This window comes from Homo sapiens, chromosome 4 (assembly GCF_000001405.40).
Source record: "Homo sapiens chromosome 4, GRCh38.p14 Primary Assembly".
NCBI classification, from domain to species: Eukaryota; Metazoa; Chordata; class Mammalia; order Primates; family Hominidae; genus Homo; species Homo sapiens.
The window spans coordinates 958,708-978,205 of NC_000004.12; the positions used below are offsets into that span (position 1 = coordinate 958,708).

The window sequence follows — 19,498 nt, forward strand, 5'->3', positions numbered from 1 at the left end:
CTTTATGGCATTTGCCTATCCACTCTCTCCAACCTGAAGACACGTTGCCAAGCTCACCTACCCGAGGGGCAGCCCACTCCCAGCCCCTTTGAGGCCTATACAGAGCTGGTGGGGTCGGGGGTGCCAAGCCAGGCCCTCCCCTCCCCTCGGTTGTTGACACAAAGATGAGGAAGAGATGGTAGGATAGTGACGCCCAGACTGTATTTGTCCTGGATATAAATTACTGTTGCATTCAGGCAGCGATAAATACAGAGGGGCCCGGTGTGCAGGGCACAGACCCCACCTGGGTACAGACTCACATACAGGACAAGCCCCTCACCACAGTTACACACGATTCATACAGACCACAGTCCACACCAGGGCTCGCGAAGCAAAACTAATCACAAAGGACTGGTCTTGAAGATGACAATGACGTAAACAAGAGTGCACGCTGGAGGCCACAAGCGGCCTTACAATGCGTGTGTCTGTGCAGTTTGGCAGATGCGGGGGGTCGGGGGATTAGTGGCATCAAGGGCCCCCCAGGAGGCTGCAGCAGGCTGGGCCAGGCCACACTCCTGAGGCCAAACCAGAGCCACTTCTGAGGTCAAAGCCACACCCAGGAAAGCTCCGCAGGATTGGAGGCCCAGGCCAGCTGTGCCCCACAAGGGAAGGGGGAGATCCGCACCGTGGGACCGTTTCTCGTGGGGGAGTCGGGGCTTCCCCACAGAGCGGGCTCCATTTTTGGTCAGACTCCTCCCGGGGCCAGTGCACCATCTGAATCCTTGGGCACGTGGAGGCAGCTTTGTCTTTGGCTGGGTGCACCCCAGCCTGGCCCAGATGCAGGACCCTCCACCAAGCTGTCTGGGGGCGTGGGAGCAGGAGGGCTGCAGGAGCTGGGTCTCCACACGCTGACGAGGGATAGGACTGAGCAGATGTCGGCTCACACAGGCACTGGGAACTGCACATCAACAGCGGGCAAGCAGCGTGGAAAGTGCTAGCGTGGGGTCTGGGGCTGAAAGCCAGCTCCTCCTCCACGTGCATGGGCTGTTTACACCTCCCAAACTCCTCTGCACCGCCATGCCCTGCTTTTGGTCCCTTCTGGGTGCTAAGTGCCCCACCCTGAGGGCCGAGGGGCAGACACTCGGGCCCGGCCCACACTCTGGTGCTGCCAGGGCAGCACCTGAGACCTCCTAGCCTCCACGTGGACAGAGGTTCTCCTCCCCAAGCAGAGGCACTAGGAAAGGGCCACCAGGTCCAGCTGGGCACTGCCTGCCCCTGGAGCTGTACCTGAGATCCAAGCTGCCATCTGTATATAACAAGGCCAGAAAACAAGGGAAGGCACCTTCTCCCTTCCCTGAACACAAGGAAGTCACCAGTCACCACCACCCGGCAGCCTCACACGCTGCCCACACCTGCTGCCCAGGGCGGGGAGGTGAGGCTGGAGGGACTGGCAGCCTGTGTCTGCTGGGGCAGGGACACACCAGGGAGCCTGCTGCTCTTAAGGACTGGCCAGGGGGACGGCCCGAGGGGCACAAAGTGAGATCAGACCCACCTGGACGGCCTGCATCCAGCACTGTCCAGCTCAAGGGGCTCAGTGGGGAGAGGGATGGGTGCCCACCCCTGAGGAGAGGACCAGGCCCCCACAGGGCAGAGGGCTCACCATCCAGAGCCCTGCGCCCACCCGGGACACGGGGTAACACTGCCACCCGCACACCAGTCTCCAGTGGGATGAGGGCTGTGACACCAACATGTGTCACCAATGGGATGAGGGCGGGTCCCGCTCCGTCACTGGGAAGATGCTGTGGTCAGGGCTGTAGCCAGGTCCGACCACAGGGCCGGCCACTGTGTGGACGTGGAGCTGCCTCCAGACCACCTGAAAACAAGGCTGGCGGGAGCAGAGATGGCTCGAGCCCTTGGGCTGCCCCAGCCACCCCTACCTAGGATCGCTCTCAGGGGCAGGCGCAGCATCCGCCCGGGCATCCCTGGTGGTCCCGGCCCTCCTCGGCTTCTGCTTGGCCTTCCTCAGCATGTGCACCTGTCCCAGGGCAGGGGACAGAGGACCAGGGTGACATGGCCGATGAAAGAACGGTACACGGGCAGCCCCCGGTCCTGGGGCCCCGGGCAGCTGATGCCATCTCAGCCCCATTTCACGGAAGGGGAGGGACCTGTCTGGCTGCTCCCTGTGCCACCTGTGGCCCGCCTGGCCACTGGCACAGCCCTCCTCTGAAGCAGGCACCCTCCCGGAGTCAGTGCTCCCTGGCCGCAGCCGGCCATGCCAGCACCACCTGGGTACCACTGGCCACTCCCATGGCCGGCCCAGCCCGGCCCACCTCCCCTGGCTCTCCAGCCTCACCCCACATACCTTAGGGCCAGCAGCTGAGATGATCATGTGCCCCGGGGCCTGGACCCAGGGCTCCCCGTCCACCTGCACCGGGGTGGCCTTGAGGAGCGTGACTCGGAAGTAGGAACCCTGGGCAATCCGGATTCCGGAGCGCAGCCCACCCTGGACCTGGCCCTGGGGCGGGAGAGGCCAGCCGGGCTCAGCGGGGATCAGGGACGCCCACCGCTGACCTGGCCCTGGGGCGGGAGAGGCCAGCCGAGCAGGGACCAGGGACGCCCACCCTGGACCTGGCCCTGGGGCGGGAGAGGCCAGCCGGGCTCAGCGGGGACCGGGGACGCCCACCCTGGACCTGGCCCTGGGGCGGGAGAGGCCAGCTGGGCTCAGCGGGGACCGGGGACGCCCACCCTGGGCTCGCCCGCCCACTCGGCCGGCGGCTCACCATGTGCACGACGCCCGTCACGCCCACAACCTCCAGCAGCCCGTCGTCCATGCGTGGCTTCTCAAACCTGGTGTCGCTGTCGGAGCCCCACAGGTCGGCCCCCGAGCCCCAGCTGCCGCATAAGAGAGCGGGCACAGAGGTGTAGGTGCAGGCAGGACGAGGGCTGAGCCTGCCCATGGCCCCGCCGGGCAGAGCCTCTGGGGAGCCCCGCCCGCGAGCACCTGGGGATGTTGATGAAGATGAGGCCTTCAATACTGGGCAGCTCCACCTCCTGCCGCTCCACCTGCAGCCGGATCTGCTTGTGCAGGCTCCGAGAGTGACTGATCTTCTGCAGCCCCACCCGCACGTACACACCCTTGTTGTGCAGCCTGCAGGACGGGGCAGGTCACCCATCACCAGGGGAAGCCCTACCCCGCCTTAGGCAGCCTCCGGGTTCCGGCCCCTCTGCCTGTTCCTGCTGGGGGACCTGAGGGAGGTATGCCGTTGACAGGTGGTAGCCCCTGCGGCTCCGGTACCTGCTTGTGAACTTGCCAGGCTCCTCTTCCCGTGCCTGGTGGAAGTCCAGGCTCAGCTCCGCGTCGATGCCAATGCCACAGTAGTTACTCATCTGCACGATCTGGGGACAGGGCGTTCATCTCCCAGGACCCGGCCGCCCTCACCAGGCCCCCTGAGCTCCCCAACAGCTCTGCCGGCAGGCAGAGACAAGAGCAAGGACCACCCTGGCACCAAGCCGAGCACCCAGGAGAGGGCAGCATGGGCAGGTCCTGGCCAGGCTCTGTCGCCAGCTGGCTCAGCACAATCCCCAGCAGTGGCTACTTTCTGTGTCTCCCTCAACTGCCCGCTTTGCAGAGGGGATGATGCGGGCGCGTACACCCGAGTGTGGCTGGGAAGAGGACGCCCGTTGTGACGCGTGTAGCGGGGTCATATGCAGGAGCCTGGAAGGCACCCCACGCCGGGCTGCCCTGTACCTTGGGGGGCTCTGCGTCTGCCGTGTCGTTCTCTGCACTGCCAGCCTCGTGGGCATCCAGCAGGATGGTCCAGCGGTCCATGAGCACGGCGTCGGCCTCGTCCACAGACAGCAGTACGGAGAACGGGTCCTCGCCGCTGTAGCCCGCCCCCCAGCGGAGGACTCGACCAAGGTCATTCCCTGGGACACAAGCAGACACAGAGCATCTGTCCACACCCACCCGCCCATCAGCTGGGTGCAGACCCCACCACGAGGACAGCCAGCCCAGGCCTCGGCAAAAGCTGCACAGGAAGGGGTAGACCCTGAGGCCCCCTCCTCGGCTGCACGGCTGAGCCCACCTGTGCCCAGGGGCAGGATGGCCACAGAAGGCTCCGGGCAGGCCAGTCGGTACCGTGTCTCCTCCAGGGCGCCAAGCACCCAGCCCACAGTGCCATCGCCACCACACACCAGCACCCGGAAGCAGGGCACCTGGGAGAACAGGTGGAGCCTAGCGGGAGACAGGAAGTGTCCTCTACCAGCTGCGGGCGCAGCCCATCCCCCACCCAGGCTGCCTCTTCCAAGTGCCCGTCCTGGCCGTGTGGAGGACTTCAAGGTCCCAGCACGGGATCCCCGTGGAGCTCCTGCCGGCCGAGACAGCTGTGGCAGCCTCCTGGGGCCCTTCCCGCCCCTGCTGCTGCCCTGGACCAGGGGTCCTGCTGGACTCACCCGGGAAGAGGACCTCCGTTGGTCAGGTCGAAGACCTGATGAGGGTTCAGTAGCTTCCGGAAGCTGCAGAGCAGGTCTCGGCCCTTGAGGCCTCCACTCTTGGGGTTCACGAACACAAGGAGGGGACAGCTGTCTGGGGGCAGCTTCGCGTGCTGACAGACAGGGGGCTGGGTTAGGATGGGGACCCAAGGTGGGGTGTCCCCACTGCTGGGGTTGCCAGGCAGTGCCCAGCCCCCAACCCTGAGCCCACCTGGCTTGGACCAGCCCCCTCCCCAGGAAGGCGTGGCCAGCACCCTCACATCTGAGGCCTCACACATGAGCTGCGTGGTCACCCCATCTCGCTGCTGGCCAGCAGGGCGGCACTGAGGACAGCCGGCTGGCTGCCTGGCACTCCCAGCACAAAGGCCTCAGACCTGCCCACTGAGCTGCGTGTGAACAGACCACACCCGCCTGGGCCATGCAGCGCGAGTCCAGGCTGGAAATCCACGTGGGACTCTGCGTGGCACTCTGTGCCAGCGAGACCAAGGCCTGTCCCCTGGGGGGCCTCTGGTGCACACCTTTGGAGGATGGCGGCTCCCAGGCCACCGCCCACCTACACAGCAGCCGAGAAAAGCTCTTAACTCACAGGGTGGCACGCGGCGTCCCTCGACCACAGGACAGAGTCCATCTCCCCACACACAACCCCAAGAAACAGTACCCAGGGATCTAGACACAGCGGGCTCAGGGCTGGGATCCCTACGACAGGAGGCTAGGGACCCTACGACAGGAGGCTGGGGCCCCCACAGCGGGGAAGGCTGGGCAACAGGAGACACACAGGCTGGGTGCAGACACAGGGTGGGCAGCGGCACAGGGGCCGGCCGTGGCTGGGGGCAAGGACACACTCGGGGCTTCGTGACCCACTTGGCAGGCAGAGCCGCCTGCGGTCACCACTTACCACTCACCCCAGGGCAGGCAGCTGACGGGAGAGAGAAAGCGCGTGTCGGCCCCAAACCTGGCTCTGCCCACAGAGCGAGTGGAGCTGGGGTGGGGGCTGCATCCTCGGGACAGTGGGGATGGCCACCCTGTCCTGAGCCAGGCAAGGCCGGGTGTAGGGGCACAGGAGGGAGGCATAGCAGGGAGCCACAGGCATCTCCCGTCCCAGCCACAGACAACTCATTCTGCTCGAGTTCTGCTTCGCCTGGACTGGGGTCACGATCAAGGGTCAAGGTTCAGGGGTAGAACAGCCATGGACACCTGGGGGGTCCTCATGGGACCCTTTGGGGGCTAGATGGGCTGAGGACGAGAGGCCAATGTGAAGGCACGGTGTGCAGCGTGGAGTCCCAGGCTCCAGCCCCTCCATGGGCCAGAACCCCGTTCCCCCCGGCCCTGCCCTGTCTCCACGGACCAGACCCCCGTTCCCCCCGGCCCTGCCCTGTCTCCATGTTCCAGATCCCCCTTTCCCCCAGCCCTGCCCTGTTGCCAGGTGCCCCCTCTTCTGGGCACTGTGGGTCTGAAGGGCAGCGTTCAAAGTTTGGGAGCTGCACTGACTGGCCTGGGGAGCTCCAGGCAGAGAGCAGAGGCCCTAAGGCCTCCCGGGCAGGGGGAGTGAGGCTGAGGCTGTACCGGGAGGGCCATGCCTGGGATCCTGACAGCTGGTCACAAACACGCTCTGGCCCTTGGCGAGGCAGCCGCAGCGGGGCCCGGCACATCCAGGAGCTGCGTCCTGTGGGCCTCCCTACTGGGTGGAGGCCTCAGGTGCAGCGTGGAAGCTGGGCCTGACCCCACGGTGCCCCACGGAGCTGGTATCACCTACTGGGCAGCCTCGGATGAGCGCTGACCCTCTGACCTCAGGCCCCTTGCTGTAAAACGGGCAACAGAGTCCTTCCTGCTGTTGTGAGGCACAAACAAGGTGGCACCTACAAGCCCCCAGTGAATTCAAGGAAGTGATGCCAGATGAAAACAGCGAGTCTGGCTGTGGGGCCTGTGCACCTGCAGACCCCGACCTCCCTCTGGCCACCCCCTGGGGTGTGTGAAGAGCCGGCTTGACCGCACACTCACCAGCAGGTCGGGGAGCACCAGGGCAGTGAGCAGCCGGCCCCGCACAGCCATGTCCTTCAGCAGCATGTACAGCCGCTCGGCCTCCGCAAAGCAGGCAACGTCCAACACTACCGCGCCTGCGGCAGGAGCCCAGGACTCAGGGGGAGCCTGTCCCATGGCCCCCACGGTGCCAGGGCAGGAACCAAACCAGGACGTTTCCCCAGCCCAGGGCTGCCCAAGGGAAAGGTCAGGTGCTACGTGAGGGCCAGGGCTGTCCCACTTCACCCCAGGAACACCCCTGGGCCTCATGTGACCACGTCCCTCAGGGCAGCTCACCTTGGGAGGAGTAGATGTGACTCACGGACACCACGGTGGCTGCAAAGGCAGGCTGTGGTCAGGGCGGTGGGAGGCGAAGGACACACAGCACTGGGGCCAGGGACAGCCCCTCCGCCTGTCCAGGGGTGACATCTCACCCCAAAGGCAGCCTCCCCAGGAAGTACCCCTGCCCCACTCCAGGAGCAGGACTCCCAGCTCCCTGGAGGTACAGGACCCCCCAGAGGGAGAGGGAGAGGCAGAGGCTGAGCACCGCAGGGAACGGCCACAGAGGGCGAGAGGCTCCAGAGCCTCTTGGAGGAAGAGACGTGGGCTGGACCCGGAGCTCAGGCCTTGGTGGCTCAAGGAGAGGCAGGAGCCGGCTCAGCACTGCAGCCCCACTGCCTGCCGCTCGACCCTGCCCCGTGCCAGCAGCCCACGGCCAGCCACAGTGGTCACACCTTTGGTAGCCCCGGCCTCATGCAGCAGGCTGCTGTACTCCTCGGGAGACAGGCCGGGAGGCAGGCCGCCAACAAACAGGGAGACGTGCGGGGCTACATCCCTGCTCTCTGCCACGTAGAACCGCGTCTGGCTCACCTGCCGCACAGACATCTGCAGGGAGAGGGGCGGGGATGCTGGGCCGGGGAGAACGGCACCACCGCACCAGGCCCTCTGTCTCCTCACCCGCAAAACAGCAAAACAGGGCATCAGGAACACTCCCAGGAATTAAGTCAACAGGAAAACGAGGAAAGGGGCCACAGAGGCTTCCTTGCTGTGGACAACCCCTGTCCGTTCCCCTCGAGGACCTCGGGGAGATCTGCAGCTCGAGGCCTCCCTGCAGGGACCAAGTAGCTCATGACGAGGGCGCTGCCCTGTCAGCCAGGACAGCCGCTGCCTAGCCAAGGAGAACTCGGCGTCTGGGGCACACCCACCCTGTGGGGCAGAGGCTGTGGCTGAGGGCTGCTGGTTCCCTGGGGGCCGGCGTCCACACCCACTCACCTGCCGGATGTCCTGTAGCCGGTCCAGCAGGGGCTGTTCGTCCATCAGCATCGTCCGCTGGACTGCAGAGGTGAGGGCACAGGCCGTCAGCACCCGGCTCCTCGCCCACCTTGGAAGCAGCTGCCCGGAGCCCCCAGGGCCCGTGGGGATGCAGGGTGGAGCTGGTCAGGAGGGCAGAGCCCGGCCTTGATGTCCGGCACCACCCTGCAGGAAAGCCTGGGCAGCAGGTCCAAACCCAAAAGGTGCAGGGACCGCCACGCCCAGCACGGGCTGTCTACTCACCGTGCCTGCAGCCCATCGCCACCTCCACCAGCTGGAAGCTCTCGGGACTCTCGGCCTGTTGGGGTAGAGCTTGGCATCGGGTCTGGGCAGGCCCCCACCACCTCAGGACACCCGCGGGGACAGCCACGCCTGGGCTGGGATGGTGGCCTGGCCTCCTGGGGACAGCGACCCCCCACCGAGTCTGGCCGGCATGGGGAGCAGGCACAGGGTACGCACCTGGCGGCCGAGCAGCGGCAGGACCTCCAGCACCACAGAGCGGGCCGTGCTCTTCGGGGTCACTCGCACGGACACGTAGGCCACGCCCACCCTGTGGGGACACAGTCTGAGCTGGAGCTCCCCCCACCCCGCCCAGCAGACCCTGAGCCTCGGGCCCAGTCTCACTTGAGCCAGCCAGGGTAGATCTTCAGGACCTCCTGGGCCCGCGGCAGAGCCCGGATGACCCAGGCCTCTGGCGTGGCCTCGCCGGACCCGGGGCTTCTGCCCTCCTCCGAGATCACAGCACTCCCAGCCTTGCCCCCAGCCCAGGCGTCACAGGCCTGAGAGGAAGGGGGCAGCCGGCACAGCTCCAGGTGGCCAGGGTCCTCGGGGATGTGGTGGGCCCGCAGTGCGGCCTCCTGCAGGGCACCAGGTTAGAGGGGCCAAGTTGTGGGGGGTCAGGCGGGGTTCAGTGGGGGGCAGGTCATGGAGGGGGAGGCCAGGTGGGTGAGGGGCGCCAGGTTGGGGGAGCCAGGTCAGGTGCGCCAGGTGCGGGGACATGCGGTCCTGGGAGGGGGCTCAGACCTCCCCCAGCCTCCCCCTTACCAGCACCTCCTCGGCACCGGCCAGGCGGGACACCGTGACGAGGCGGAACTGGCTTCTTCTCACCGCGTCGTCGCCATCAAAGATCTTCAGCGTTTGCTTCCCTGGGCCGGGTAAGCTCCGTGAGTCCCGGGCGCCCGGGGGACCTCAGTGGAGTTGGGGGGAATGAGGCGGGCACTTACCGGACTCCGGAGTTGCCTGTGTCTCTCTGCCTGGACCCACGGCAGCGCTCCCGTCGGCGCCGTCGCCCCCCTCGCCTGCGGGTCGGGCACACGGACCCCTCATTCAGTGCGCAGCCCCCAGCCCAGGGCGCCCCGGCCGGCCCGCACCTCACCCGGCTCCGCGGCCTCCACGATGCGGAAGCTCTGCGTCTTGCTGAAGCCGCCGGGCAGAAGGCGCACGCACGCGGGAGGCAGGACCAGGGAGCGCAGACGCCCGAAGCCACACTCGGGAGCCAGCGCCGCGGAGCAGAGGGAGTGCGCCTGGGGGGAGAAGGGCCTGAGCTGGGGGGTTGGAGCCAGGGTGCGGGGGCACCAGGTGCGCCAGGTCCAGGGAAAGACCCCACACGACGCAGACCCACCTGGACCCCGTGTCCTTCCTGCCGCCCGCCCCCGAGCACCCACCTGGAACCCGCGCCTCTCCTGCCCCGCCCCGCCAACTCCTCCACCTCCCAGCACCCACCCAACCCCGCACCTCTCCTGCCCCACCCCCACCCCCTCGACTTCCCAGCGCCCACCTGGACCCCGCACCACTCGCAGCGCACGCCGGCCAGCACGTCAGAGGAGCCGCACGTCTTCCTGCAGACCTCGCAGCGCGCTCCCGAGGGCAGGTTCCCCTCCCGCCAGTGGTGGTGATGGGTGTCCTGCAGAGCGGGGGCAGTCAGCAGCTGGGCCCGCCCCACCCCCCAGGGCTCCCTGGGGCCGGTACACTCACGTGATCCTGGTGCCCATCCTGGTGGCACTGGCGGCAGTCACTGCAGGCGAAGGGCACACAGTCTGGGTGGAGGTGCAGCTCACACACTGGGGGGCAGGCAGGGTTAGAGGTGTCTGCCGCCCCCGGAGGACCCCTGCCTCTGCCGGTGCTTGGGTCTGCCCCATCCCCACCACCTAGCACCCTGCATCCTTTAAGTGTCCTGTGGCCTGCCAGGCGGCCAGCCCTTGGCCTCCCCCATCACCCCTGACAAGCTGCACAGCAGGGGTGGGCTGGGCCACCCTGGGCAGCAGAGACCAGGACACTGGGTGGGGAGCCAGGCAGGCTCCAGGTACCTTCGCAGTGGAGCGCCGGTGCCTCCAGGACCTTGCGGCAGACAGCACAGAACTTGCGCTTGTGGAGCCCCCGGGGGCCGAAGCAGTGGGCTACAGGAACCTGGTGGGGCAGCCTCACCTCAGCACCCTTGGTAAGGGCAACAGGCTGCCCGCCACCCCTCCTCGCTCTTCACCTGCGCAACTCTGCAGCTCACGCTCCTGCTGAGAACTGCCCAGGCTGAGCCAGCTGTGCTAGCTGGAGGCCCCAGGAACAACCACACCCCCAGGTCCTGGGGACAGCCTGGCTGGTCAAAAGCAGGGAGGAGGCTGTGGCCTCCTCCAGCAGCCCTGCCTAGCGCAGGGGAGCGAGGCCCCAGGAACAACCACACCCCCGGGTCCTGGGGACAGCCTGGCTGGTCAAAAGCAGGGAGGAGGCTGTGGCCTCCCCCAGCAGCCCTGCCTAGCGCAGGGGAGCGAGGCCCGCCTGCCACCCCTTCCCTCCTTGGGGCAGGCGAGGCTCTGTCGACGGCCTGGCATCTGTCTCCTCCGAGCCAGGAAGATCCCAGCACACAGGGACTGCCCTCTGGGAGATAATCTGGCCATAACGAGTGTGGACCAATGTTTCTGTGTTGGAGAAAGCTGGGCTGTTGCTTTTCCACGAGAAGGGAAGGAGAAGGACCAAGTCTTCACTCCTGACTCTCGCCCTTGTCCCCAAACTTAAACCACACCCGATAAAAGCATACACAGAAAGACCGTGTTCCAGAATAGCAGCTGTGAGCATGCCAGGATGGCGGGTGACTTTTATTTTGTTAAATATATCTCCTTTTTTTTTTTTTTTGAGATGGAGTCTCGCTCTGTCGCCCAGGCTGGAGTGCAGTGGCGTGATCTCGGCTCACTGCAAGCTCCGCCTCCTGGGTTCACACCATTCTCCTGCCTCAGCCTCCCGAGTAGCTGGGACTACAGGCGCCCGCCACCACACCCGGCTAATTTTTATATTTTGTTTAGTAAAGAAGGGGTTTCACTGTGTTAGCCAGGATGGTCTCGATCTCCTGACCTCATGATCTACCTGCCTCGGCCTCCCAAAGTGCTGGGATTACGGGCGTGAGCCACAGCGCCCGGCCGTTAAATACATCTTCTAAATTTCCTATCATGCATACAGTTGAAATACATACTTATATTTTCCCAATTTAGCAAAGTATAGAAGACATTAAAATCAATTTTAAAAAGCGGCAGCCTCGGGCCGTCCACATGACGAGGGGCCGCCCAAGCCAGTGTGGAATCACCAGGGTGTCGGCCACCACCAGGACCACCGGCCTAAGGCCTCCTGCTCACACCCGGGGAACTGCATCATTAGGAACAGGGCGTCAGACATTAGAGGGGACGGCGCAGCCGGATGCCCGCCAGTGGCAGGTGTGCCTGCTGGCCTGGCTTCCCGTCCTGCTGCACACCCGGGCCTGCCTCGCGGCCTGCGCCCCACCTGCAGCCTGAACGCATCAGGGAATGCGGACTTGGGGGGCCTCAGTCTGAAGACGGCGACGCTGACAGCTGAGGGAGGAATAAGCCTGGCCCTTCCTACATGTCCCTGCTGTCACCACTGTCACCAGAGAAGGGAAGTCCCCTGTGCCCTGCAGTGACCTGGGCCAGTCACCTCCCTGCCCCACCCAGAGCCCTTAGAGGGAGGGTGGTGGCCAAGACACCCTCAGGCACCCAGGCTTCCTGCCTTTGCTTTTTATTCAAGCTTCCTTGAGATGCTTGTGGGTTCACACATAGCTGTGAGGAAACTGAACAGACCCCCTGAAGCCTTTGTCAGCTCCCCTAAGTGTGTGATCTTGCAAACTGAGGTCACGCCAGATGCCGAAATCTCCATCCCCCCCAGGAGCCCTCACGCTGCATGTCACAGCCACGCCCACTTCTCCGCCTGGAAACCTCTCTACATCTGTGCTCCCTTTAGTTTCGTCATTTTGAGCACATTCTATGGACAGGATCTTGCTATTTGCGACCTCGGGGACTGGCTTTTATCACCATCATTCCCTGCAGATCCATGCAGGGTGCTCAGCCTTTTAATCCCGAGCAGTATCTGCCCTTTGCCTTTCAACTGCAGGTATCACTAACGTCTGACATGAAGGTTTTCAGTGCCTCGACCCTACGAGAGCTGACACATCCCCCAGCCTCTTGCAGGTGCAACACCCAGCCCCACACTCACCCGGACCAGGCTGGGTGCCACACTCGTGCACGGGATCCTCACGTGCTTCAGGCACTTCTCATGAGACATGAAATTGCAGACTGTGGGAATGAGCACTGTGTGAGTTGGCCCCTGTCCTACCCAATGGCTGTCCTACCCAGGAAGTTAGAGGCCCCAGGGCAATGACTGCCATACCCACCATGCTGCACCAGGGGCCCTGTGGTCCTCGAGTTCCCCCACCACCCTGCCCACTCATTGGAGAGAGCCTGCAGCCCAGGAGCCCAGGAGCAAGAACCTGGGTGGTCCTGACCATCCTGGAGGACAATGAGTGTATCCTCTCATCCAGAGAGCAGTCCCTCCCCTTCGCACGTAGGCCCAGCACTCCTCCTGCCTCTGCAGTTGGGCCTCTCAAGGGGCAGCCCTGGGCTCACCAGGTTCGCCAGGTGGCAGGGGCTTCTCGGCCTTCGGCAGATTGGCTTTACCAAGGACATCTGTGTCTCACTCCCCCGAAACTACGCATACCCCTAATTGTCCCTGCTACGTGCTGTGCACCGTGCCTGAGACCGAGAGCCACCCAAGGCAGGTGAGGGCTCTGGGAGGCAGGAGCCGCTGGGGAGTGGACAGCCCCAAGCCTCCCAAGGAGCTCTGGCTGTGTGCATAGGACCCAGGGAGCACCTGAGCCGGCGGGGTGCTCAGGAGGGCATAAGAGGAGCAAGCGCCACACCCCAGCAGTAAAACAGACAGGAGGGTGGGGCCGGGGCAGAAGGGAGGGCAGGAACCCTGGGCTGGGGCAAAGGCTGCGGGGGCTGGGAGTGGGCAGGGCACCCAGTGACACAACTGCCAAGACAGCCCCGGGTGAAGGTTGTGCCACGGAGCCCCAGGCAGTCCAGCTGGGACAGGGAGCTCTTCCAGAAGGCCCCGCTGGTGCCGCCCTTCACCTGCTGCAGCCCTAGCCACCCCAGTCTCCAGATGGGACCGGGAGAAGCTTCTCCTGGCAGCTTAAGAGAAAAGCTCTGGAAGCAGGCCAGGGTCCACCGAGAGAAGGGGGGACAGGCAGCACCCAGGTCCCTCCTCTGCCATGGAGACAGGGCCTGCTCACCCCACGCCCCACGCTTGGGTCTCCTGGCGGGGAGGGTGCCCTCCTTCCCATACCGCTGCTGGCCCCTCTTCCACGGGTGCTGCCCAGGAGGGCCCTTTTGCCCCCTCCGAAGGGGGAGGGGACCCGGAGTCTGGCCTCAAGTCGGGAGCTGCCTCAGCCACACATGCACACTCCCCACCTCTGGGGAAGCCCCTGGCATCCCCAGGCAGCAGGCATGGCTGTGCCATGCTCTGACGTGACAAAGAAGCTGGCGGGCCAGGCCACCTTGTGCAGCCCTGGGGGTCAGAACAACCATGCCGTTTCCACCACAGACGACATCCCCGTGTGAGGGGACAGTCTCCTCTGCGGACCCTGACCTGAGTGGACCCCTATCCCCAGAGAAAGGCCTGAGGCTAAGGATAGCCCCTCCCACCTCAGCGTCCCTGGCCAGGACACAGTAAGTGTCAAACGTCCAGAACTCCGGTCCTGTCCCTCGCTCCCTCCAGAGGCTGGGCTGTGGTCCCCCTGTCCCTCGCTCCCTCCAGAGGCTGGGCTGTGGTCCCCCTGTCCCTCGCTCCCTCCAGAGGCTGGGCTGTAGTCCCCGGGGCCCGCCTGCTTGCCGCGGGGGAAGATGAGAGCCAGCCCTGGGAGCACCCGGGCCCAGAACAGGGAAGGGCTGTCCTCACCCCAGCAAGAGCTGGGCAGCTGGGTGGAGCAGGGCTGGGACACGCGCACCGGGACGGCAGGGCCCGGCCTGGCTCTCCAGGAGGCTGGGACTCTGGGCCACAGCATGAGAAGGGCTAGGGCCAGGGGCCCAGGCCAGCCCTGCTTAGCCACACCTGCTGCCCCAGCCACTGGGAGAGGAAGCCGGCCATGGGGACCCCAGCTGAGGTCCCGCTCGCATCAGGCACAGCCCCTGGGTCGCAGCCATCGCGCGGCACTATGGAGATGCTGTCCGCACCTCCCAGGTGAGGAAGCCCGCAGCCTGGAGCGGCCCCACGGCGCACAGGCCCCGGCCGCCCCACGAAGGCACGTCCCGCGAGCAGGGCTGGGACCCCGCCCTCCACTCCCCCGAAAGCGCCGGTGCCACCTCCGCTCAGGCTCCCGCCCACGGGGCAGAGGCAGGGCTGCAGCCGGGTAGGCATCGGGCCCGGGCGCTCACCGTCGCACAGGAAGCCGGCCAGCCCCCAGATGAAGTCGGAGCAGAGGTGGCAGAAGGTGGGCTTGGTGAGCGTCACCTTCCGGAAGCTGTGTCCCGGCGCGGCAGCGGGGCCCGGGGCTCTGACGCCCGCCCGCTCGGGTCCCGGCCCCGGCCCCGGCCCCGGGCGCGCGCGGCCTCCTGAGCCCAGCACGGGGCTGCAGGCCGGGCTGCCGGGGCGCGGGGAGCCGCCGCCCAGCCAGGCGCGGGCCCCGGGCTCGGCCGCCGCCGCCATTCCCGGCCCGAGCGGCCCGAGCCCCTTTAGGTCCGCGCCGGGGGTACAGGAGCCGCCGCTCCACGGCCCGGTACACTGCTTCCGACTGCGCCTGCCCCACTGCGCAGGCGCGGGCCGCGGGGCGGGGCGGGGCGCTGCTGGTGGGCGGATCTGGGGGCTGGCGGGGCGGGGCCTGCTAAGGGTCGCAGCCGTGCCCCGTCGATGAGCGGGGCTGGGGGCGGGCCCTGTGATCGGGCGGGGCGGGGCCTGCTAAGGGGCGGGGCCTGTGCGCGGAGGCCGCTCGCGAACCAGCCGTGGGGAACTGGTCCACGTGGGCTCGGTTTGACCGCAGCCGGGCCAGACTTCTCCGGACGCCGCACGCGCGGCGTTGTACCTGCGGGGTCCCGGCCCGCGGCTGCGCAGACAGGCGCCTCCCACGCGAGACGCGGATGCTGTCCGAGGCCCCCGGCCGCGCAGGACGCCCCCGGCGAGGGGCAGCGCTGCGGGCCTCCCACAGTGGGTCCCGGAAAGCGGGGTTTGCGGTGCTTGGGCGGCTCCGTCCGTGGGGTCTTCGCACGCGCAGACTTGGCCCTGCCCGAGGCCCAGGACCCCCGGCGCCCGACCGCTGTCCTCACTGCAACGGGGGACCCGCCTGCGGCCCGGGGCTGTCCGCTCGCGACCCCCACCCGGGCCTCACGCCGAGCGCCCAGCTCTCCTGCCTCGTGCGCGCCACGGGTCTTGTTCAGGTGGCGCTGGTGTCCTTTGAGAGCCGCGTCCACGCGGGTCACCCCTCCCCGCCGCTGGCAGCAGTCTGGGTCCTTGCCCCCGTGGGCCTAACTGTGGATAGGAGTCTGCGAAGCGGGGGACCCCACCCCGGGCCACCGAGCGGGGACCTGCAGAGGGCAGGGCTCCAGGGCCATCGCAGCAGGCGGTCTCAGGGGGCAGGAAGAGCAGGGAAGGGCCTGTGGGGAGACGCCTGAAAGGGGCTGGGGGCTGTGGACTCTGGAGGGAAGGAGCCGGGAGACCTGTCCTAGGGGCTGTGCTGGTGAGGGCACCCAGACCACAGGGGATTCCAGGAATGGAGGGTGAGCCGGGGACCCAGTCTGAGGAGGGAGGAGCAGGCCCCTGAGATGGTGAGGGGGGAGACGCAGTCCTCAACCAGGGAGGATTCTGTTTGTCCAGAAGCTGCTGGTTGAGCTGCTGGGGTAGGACCCTGGGTGGACCCCAGGGTAAAGGGAATGCAGCCAAAGCTTCAGGGAACCTTCACCCTCCAGGAGCTGCGCTCTGGGACAGACAGCACCCTGAAGAATGAGGGCTGCCTGGGGGCAGCAGGAAGGCGTCCAGGCGGAAAGCCGGAGCAGAGGCCCTGTGGCAGGGTGCTCCGCAGAAATCCTTTCCTGATGCCCACCTATGCTGGGAGGCCCGGAGTCACCACCCCTGCATTCCCTGTCTCCTGTGCCAGACCCCACCCCGAGCCTGCCCTCAGCCAGGCCCCAAGACCCCCTGTGCCTGGGCCCTGGGAGAGCTAGGACCCAGCCTTGTGGCCCATGAGGAGGAGGTGGCTCACTGAGCCCGTGGTGCTCATGGCAGTGAACCACGGTGCAAACTGCAGCTGGCTTCTGAGGAAAAACTGTTTAAGGACATACCTTTCTCCATTTAGGAGACAGTGGAGAGCATCAAAAACATCTTAAAAAGGAAAACCCTCATCTACCATTTCTGCCAGAACTTTCTGCTTTCTGACGCACACGTTAATTAAAATGGCGGGCAAAGCATCCTTCCAGCAAACACTCCACGGACTTCCTAGAACGTCCTCCAAAGCCACCAGCAGCTTCTCGCTGAAGGGGCCTTAAAACTTTGAATCCGCTCTCCCTCTCCCTCTCCCTCTCCCTCTCCCTCCACGGTCTCCTTCCACGGTCTCCCTCTGATGCCGAGCCAAAGCTGGACGGTACTGCCGCCATCTCGGCTCACTGCAACCTCCCTGCCTGATTCTCCTGCCTCAGCCTGCCGAGTGCCTGCCATTGCAGGTGCGCGCCGCCACGCCTGACTGGTTTTCGTGTTTTTTTTGGTGGAGATGGGGTTTTGCTGTGTTGGCCGGGCTGGTCTCCAGCTCCTAACCGCGAGTGATCCGCCAGCCTCGGCCTCCCGAGGTGCCGGGATTGCAGACGGAGTCTCGTTCACTCAGTGCTCAATGGTGCCCAGGCTGGAGTGAAGTGGCGTGATCTCGGCTCGCTACAACCTCCACCTCCCAGCCGCCTGCCTTGGCCTCCCAAAGTGCCGAGATTGCAGCCTCTGCCCAGCCGCCACCCCGTCTGGGAAGTGAGGAGCGTCTCTGCCTGGCCCCCCATCGTCTGGGATATGAGGAGCCCCTGTGCCTGGCTGCCCAGTCTGGAAAGTGAGGAGCGTCTCTGCCCGGCCGCCATCCCATCTAGGAAGCGAGGAGCGCCTCTTCCCCGCCGCCTTCCCATCTAGGAAGTGAGGAGCGTCTCTGCCCGGCCGCCCATCGTCTGAGATGTGGGGAGCACCTCTGCCCCGCCGCCCTGTCTGGGATGTGAGGAGCACCTCTGTTGGCCACAACCCTGTCTGGGAGGTGAGGAGCGTCTCTGCCCGGCCGCCCCGTCTGAGAAGTGAGGAAACCCTCTGCCTGGCAACCGCCCTGTCTGAGAAGTGAGGAGCCCCTCCGTCCAGCAGCCACCCCGTCTGGGAAGTGAGGAGCGTCTCCGCCCGGCAGCCGCCCCGTCCGGGAGGTGAGGGGCTCCTCTGCCCGGCCGCCCCTACTGGGAAGTGAGGAGCCCCTCTGCCCGGCCAGCCGCCCCATCCGGGAGGTGAGGGGCGCTTCTGCCCAGCCGCCCCTACTGGGAAGTGAGGAGCCCCTCTGCCCGGCCACGACCCCGTCTGGGAGGTGTGTCCAGCGGCTCATTGGGGATGGGCCATGATGACAATGGCGGTTTTGTGGAATAGAAAGGCGGGAAGGGTGGGGAAAAAATTGAGAAATCGGATGGTTGCCGGGTCTGTGTGGATAGAAGTAGACATGGGAGACTTTTCATTTTGTTCTGTACTAAGAAAAATTCTTCTGCCTTGGAAAAAAAAAAAAAAAACAACAACTTTGAATCCCAGCCTGGACCACGGCACCCGCCACAACGGAGCTTGTCTGCCAGAGGGACAGCTTCTTCTGTGCAGGCCCGTCCACGTCTCCAGGCCTGTGTCTCCCACTCCCTTTCCTGTCTGTCTTGGTCAACGTGGGCTGCCGTGACAGAAGACCACAGACTGGAGGCTTAAACCACAGGAAACGTGTTTCTTACTGCTCTGGAGGATGGGAAGTAGAGATGGGGGTACTGGCATGTTTGGTTCTGGTGAGGGCCTCTCCCCCCACCACTCCCCTGAGGAAACCAGGGTCTAAAGTCTAACCATACTTATGGGTAGAACTGTCCCCCCAAAATTCTATGTTGACATTCCAACCCCCAGCACCTCAGAATGAGACTTGTTTGGAGACAGAGTCTTTACAGAGAAAATCAGGTTAAGGTGCGGTCACAAGGGCGGGCCTCACCCCAGCATGAGGCGCCCTTATGGAAAGGGGATCTGGAGACAGGCATGCAGGGAGAGGCCGTGCGAAGATGAAGGCCGAGGTCAGGGCGGTGCTTTCTCAGGCCAAGGATCACCGAGGGCTGCTGGCCGCCACAGGGAGCTGGGGAGAGGATGGGACCGGTCCTGCCTCGCAGCCTCGGAGGAGCCGGCCATGCAACCGGATCCTAGACTTCTTCACTCTGAGCGTGTGCATGAGTAACTGCGGAAGCACGGTGGGTATTGATTCTGGGGCTTAAACACATTCAGCAAGCTGGTGTATTTGCAGATGCAGGATCTCTGAGCAAGGGGGCTGGCCGGTGCATGTCACATGTGCCTAGACCCTCCATGCAACGGCTCTTAGGGGGTCCTAGTTTTCCTGCCATCCGACTGACCAAGCCTTCCCTTCCACAAGGCGTATGTCCTGTTTAAGCACCTGCCTCCCCTGAGGTCTTAAATAGGTTTCCCTATTGGGAGGGGAGTCTTTTTACGTTTTACATTTACATCTGTGAGCCAGCCAAGACTGATCTGGGGGTGTCGTGTGAGGTGGGTCCAGCTGCTTGTTGGGGGCGCTTTCCCCACAGCTCTGGGAACCTCTGCCACAAGGCAGAGAACCAAGTAAGCACAGGGCTGGAGCTTGCACAGGTTTCGGGCAGCCTGAAGCCAATGGGGATGTCTTTTTTTTTTTTTAGACGGAGTCTTGCTCTTGTTGCCCAGGCTGGAGTGCAGTGGTGCGATCTCCGCTCACTGCAACCTCTGCCTCCCAGGTTCAAGCGATTCTCCTGCCTTAGCCTCCTGAGTAGCTGGGATTACAGGCACGTGCCTCCACAGCTGGCTAATTTTGTATTTTTAGTAGAGACGGGGTTTCTCCATGTTGGTCAGGCTGGTCTCGAACTCCTGACCTCGTGATCCGCCTGCCTCGGCCTTCCAAAGTGTTGGGATTACAGGCGTGAGCCACCATGCCCGGTCTGCATTTCTTCTTAAATAGATCCCCATCAGCAGTCGGGAGTTCGAGACCAGCCTCACCAACATGGAGAAACCCCGTGTCTGCTAAAAATACAAAATTAGCCGGGCATGGTGGCAAGTGCCTGTAATCCCAGCTACTTGGGAGGCTGAGGCAGGAGAATCACTTGAACCCGGGAGGCGGAGGTTGCAGTGAGCCGAGATCGTGCCACTGCTCTCCAGC

The 19,498-nt window shown here is 65.0% G+C and overlaps 1 protein-coding gene and 1 long non-coding RNA gene across 8 annotated transcripts, besides 7 other annotated features; one reads left to right on the forward strand and one right to left on the reverse strand.

The window, feature by feature from the left end:
* Window positions 1-179: 179 nt before the first annotated feature.
* Window positions 180-14,862, reverse strand: DGKQ (diacylglycerol kinase theta). 7 transcript variants are annotated; one of them, NM_001347.4, is made up of 23 exons: window positions 14,505-14,862; window positions 12,286-12,365; window positions 10,104-10,203; window positions 9,772-9,857; window positions 9,575-9,700; window positions 9,173-9,320; window positions 9,021-9,095; window positions 8,842-8,942; window positions 8,422-8,654; window positions 8,257-8,347; window positions 8,041-8,095; window positions 7,759-7,820; window positions 7,221-7,371; window positions 6,784-6,822; window positions 6,469-6,584; window positions 4,432-4,583; window positions 4,065-4,213; window positions 3,728-3,906; window positions 3,275-3,375; window positions 2,981-3,127; window positions 2,760-2,871; window positions 2,342-2,494; window positions 180-2,014 (listed from the first exon to the last, which is right to left on the reverse strand). In NM_001347.4, the coding sequence occupies exons 1-23, from the start codon at window positions 14,773-14,775 to the stop codon at window positions 1,913-1,915; spliced, it is 2,829 nt and encodes a 942-aa protein (NP_001338.2). In that variant the 5' UTR covers window positions 14,776-14,862; the 3' UTR covers window positions 180-1,912. The 7 variants fall into 7 exon arrangements, with proteins under 7 accessions (NP_001338.2, XP_011511713.1, XP_047305643.1 ...); XM_011513411.2 differs by lacking the exon at window positions 7,221-7,371 and adding an exon at window positions 7,444-7,594; XM_047449687.1 differs by having other exon boundaries at window positions 7,357-7,594.
* Window positions 4,746-4,905: a silencer, noted in NCBI's record as "fragment chr4:957241-957400 (GRCh37/hg19 assembly coordinates)". NCBI's record gives its function as "represses an EF-1alpha promoter that drives an FKBP-Casp9 reporter gene in an ReSE screen in HepG2 liver carcinoma cells {active_cell/tissue: HepG2}" and the evidence as "EXISTENCE:reporter gene assay evidence [ECO:0000049][PMID:32094911]".
* Window positions 9,236-9,949: an enhancer, noted in NCBI's record as "H3K27ac-H3K4me1 hESC enhancer chr4:961731-962444 (GRCh37/hg19 assembly coordinates)". NCBI's record gives its function as "activates a minimal SCP1, AML or CMV promoter by ChIP-STARR-seq in naive H9 embryonic stem cells {active_cell/tissue: H9 hESC(naive)}" and the evidence as "EXISTENCE:reporter gene assay evidence [ECO:0000049][PMID:30033119]".
* Window positions 9,950-10,663: an enhancer, noted in NCBI's record as "H3K27ac-H3K4me1 hESC enhancer chr4:962445-963158 (GRCh37/hg19 assembly coordinates)". NCBI's record gives its function as "activates a minimal SCP1, AML or CMV promoter by ChIP-STARR-seq in naive H9 embryonic stem cells {active_cell/tissue: H9 hESC(naive)}" and the evidence as "EXISTENCE:reporter gene assay evidence [ECO:0000049][PMID:30033119]".
* On the forward strand, window positions 10,176-11,234 carry LOC124900645 (uncharacterized). The gene is made up of 2 exons (XR_007057989.1): window positions 10,176-10,234; window positions 10,638-11,234. It is a non-coding gene; the product is annotated as an uncharacterized LOC124900645 (long non-coding RNA).
* Window positions 11,011-11,529: an enhancer, noted in NCBI's record as "H3K4me1 hESC enhancer chr4:963506-964024 (GRCh37/hg19 assembly coordinates)". NCBI's record gives its function as "activates a minimal SCP1, AML or CMV promoter by ChIP-STARR-seq in naive H9 embryonic stem cells {active_cell/tissue: H9 hESC(naive)}" and the evidence as "EXISTENCE:reporter gene assay evidence [ECO:0000049][PMID:30033119]".
* Window positions 13,366-14,006: an enhancer, noted in NCBI's record as "H3K27ac-H3K4me1 hESC enhancer chr4:965861-966501 (GRCh37/hg19 assembly coordinates)". NCBI's record gives its function as "activates a minimal SCP1, AML or CMV promoter by ChIP-STARR-seq in naive H9 embryonic stem cells {active_cell/tissue: H9 hESC(naive)}" and the evidence as "EXISTENCE:reporter gene assay evidence [ECO:0000049][PMID:30033119]".
* Window positions 14,241-14,690: a silencer, noted in NCBI's record as "silent region_15114". NCBI's record gives its function as "represses an Ori minimal core promoter by ATAC-STARR-seq in GM12878 lymphoblastoid cells {active_cell/tissue: GM12878}" and the evidence as "EXISTENCE:reporter gene assay evidence [ECO:0000049][PMID:35858748]".
* Window positions 14,791-15,130: a silencer, noted in NCBI's record as "silent region_15115". NCBI's record gives its function as "represses an Ori minimal core promoter by ATAC-STARR-seq in GM12878 lymphoblastoid cells {active_cell/tissue: GM12878}" and the evidence as "EXISTENCE:reporter gene assay evidence [ECO:0000049][PMID:35858748]".

What these genes read in the sequence shown, in the direction of transcription:
- DGKQ (XM_047449687.1), bottom strand. Translation starts at nt 14,775, where the DNA reads ATGGCGGCGGCGGCCGAGCCCGGGGCCCGCGCCTGGCTGGGCGGCGGC. An exon ending in GGCCGGCTTCCTGTGCGACG is followed by an intron (nt 12,366 to 14,504) that starts GTGAGCGCCCGG and finishes TCATTCCCACAG; the next exon opens with TCTGCAATTTCATGTCTCAT. An exon ending in TGCAGATGTCTGTGCGGCAG is followed by an intron (nt 6,823 to 7,356) that starts GTGAGCCAGACG and finishes CTGCCTTTGCAG; the next exon opens with CCACCGTGGTGTCCGTGAGT.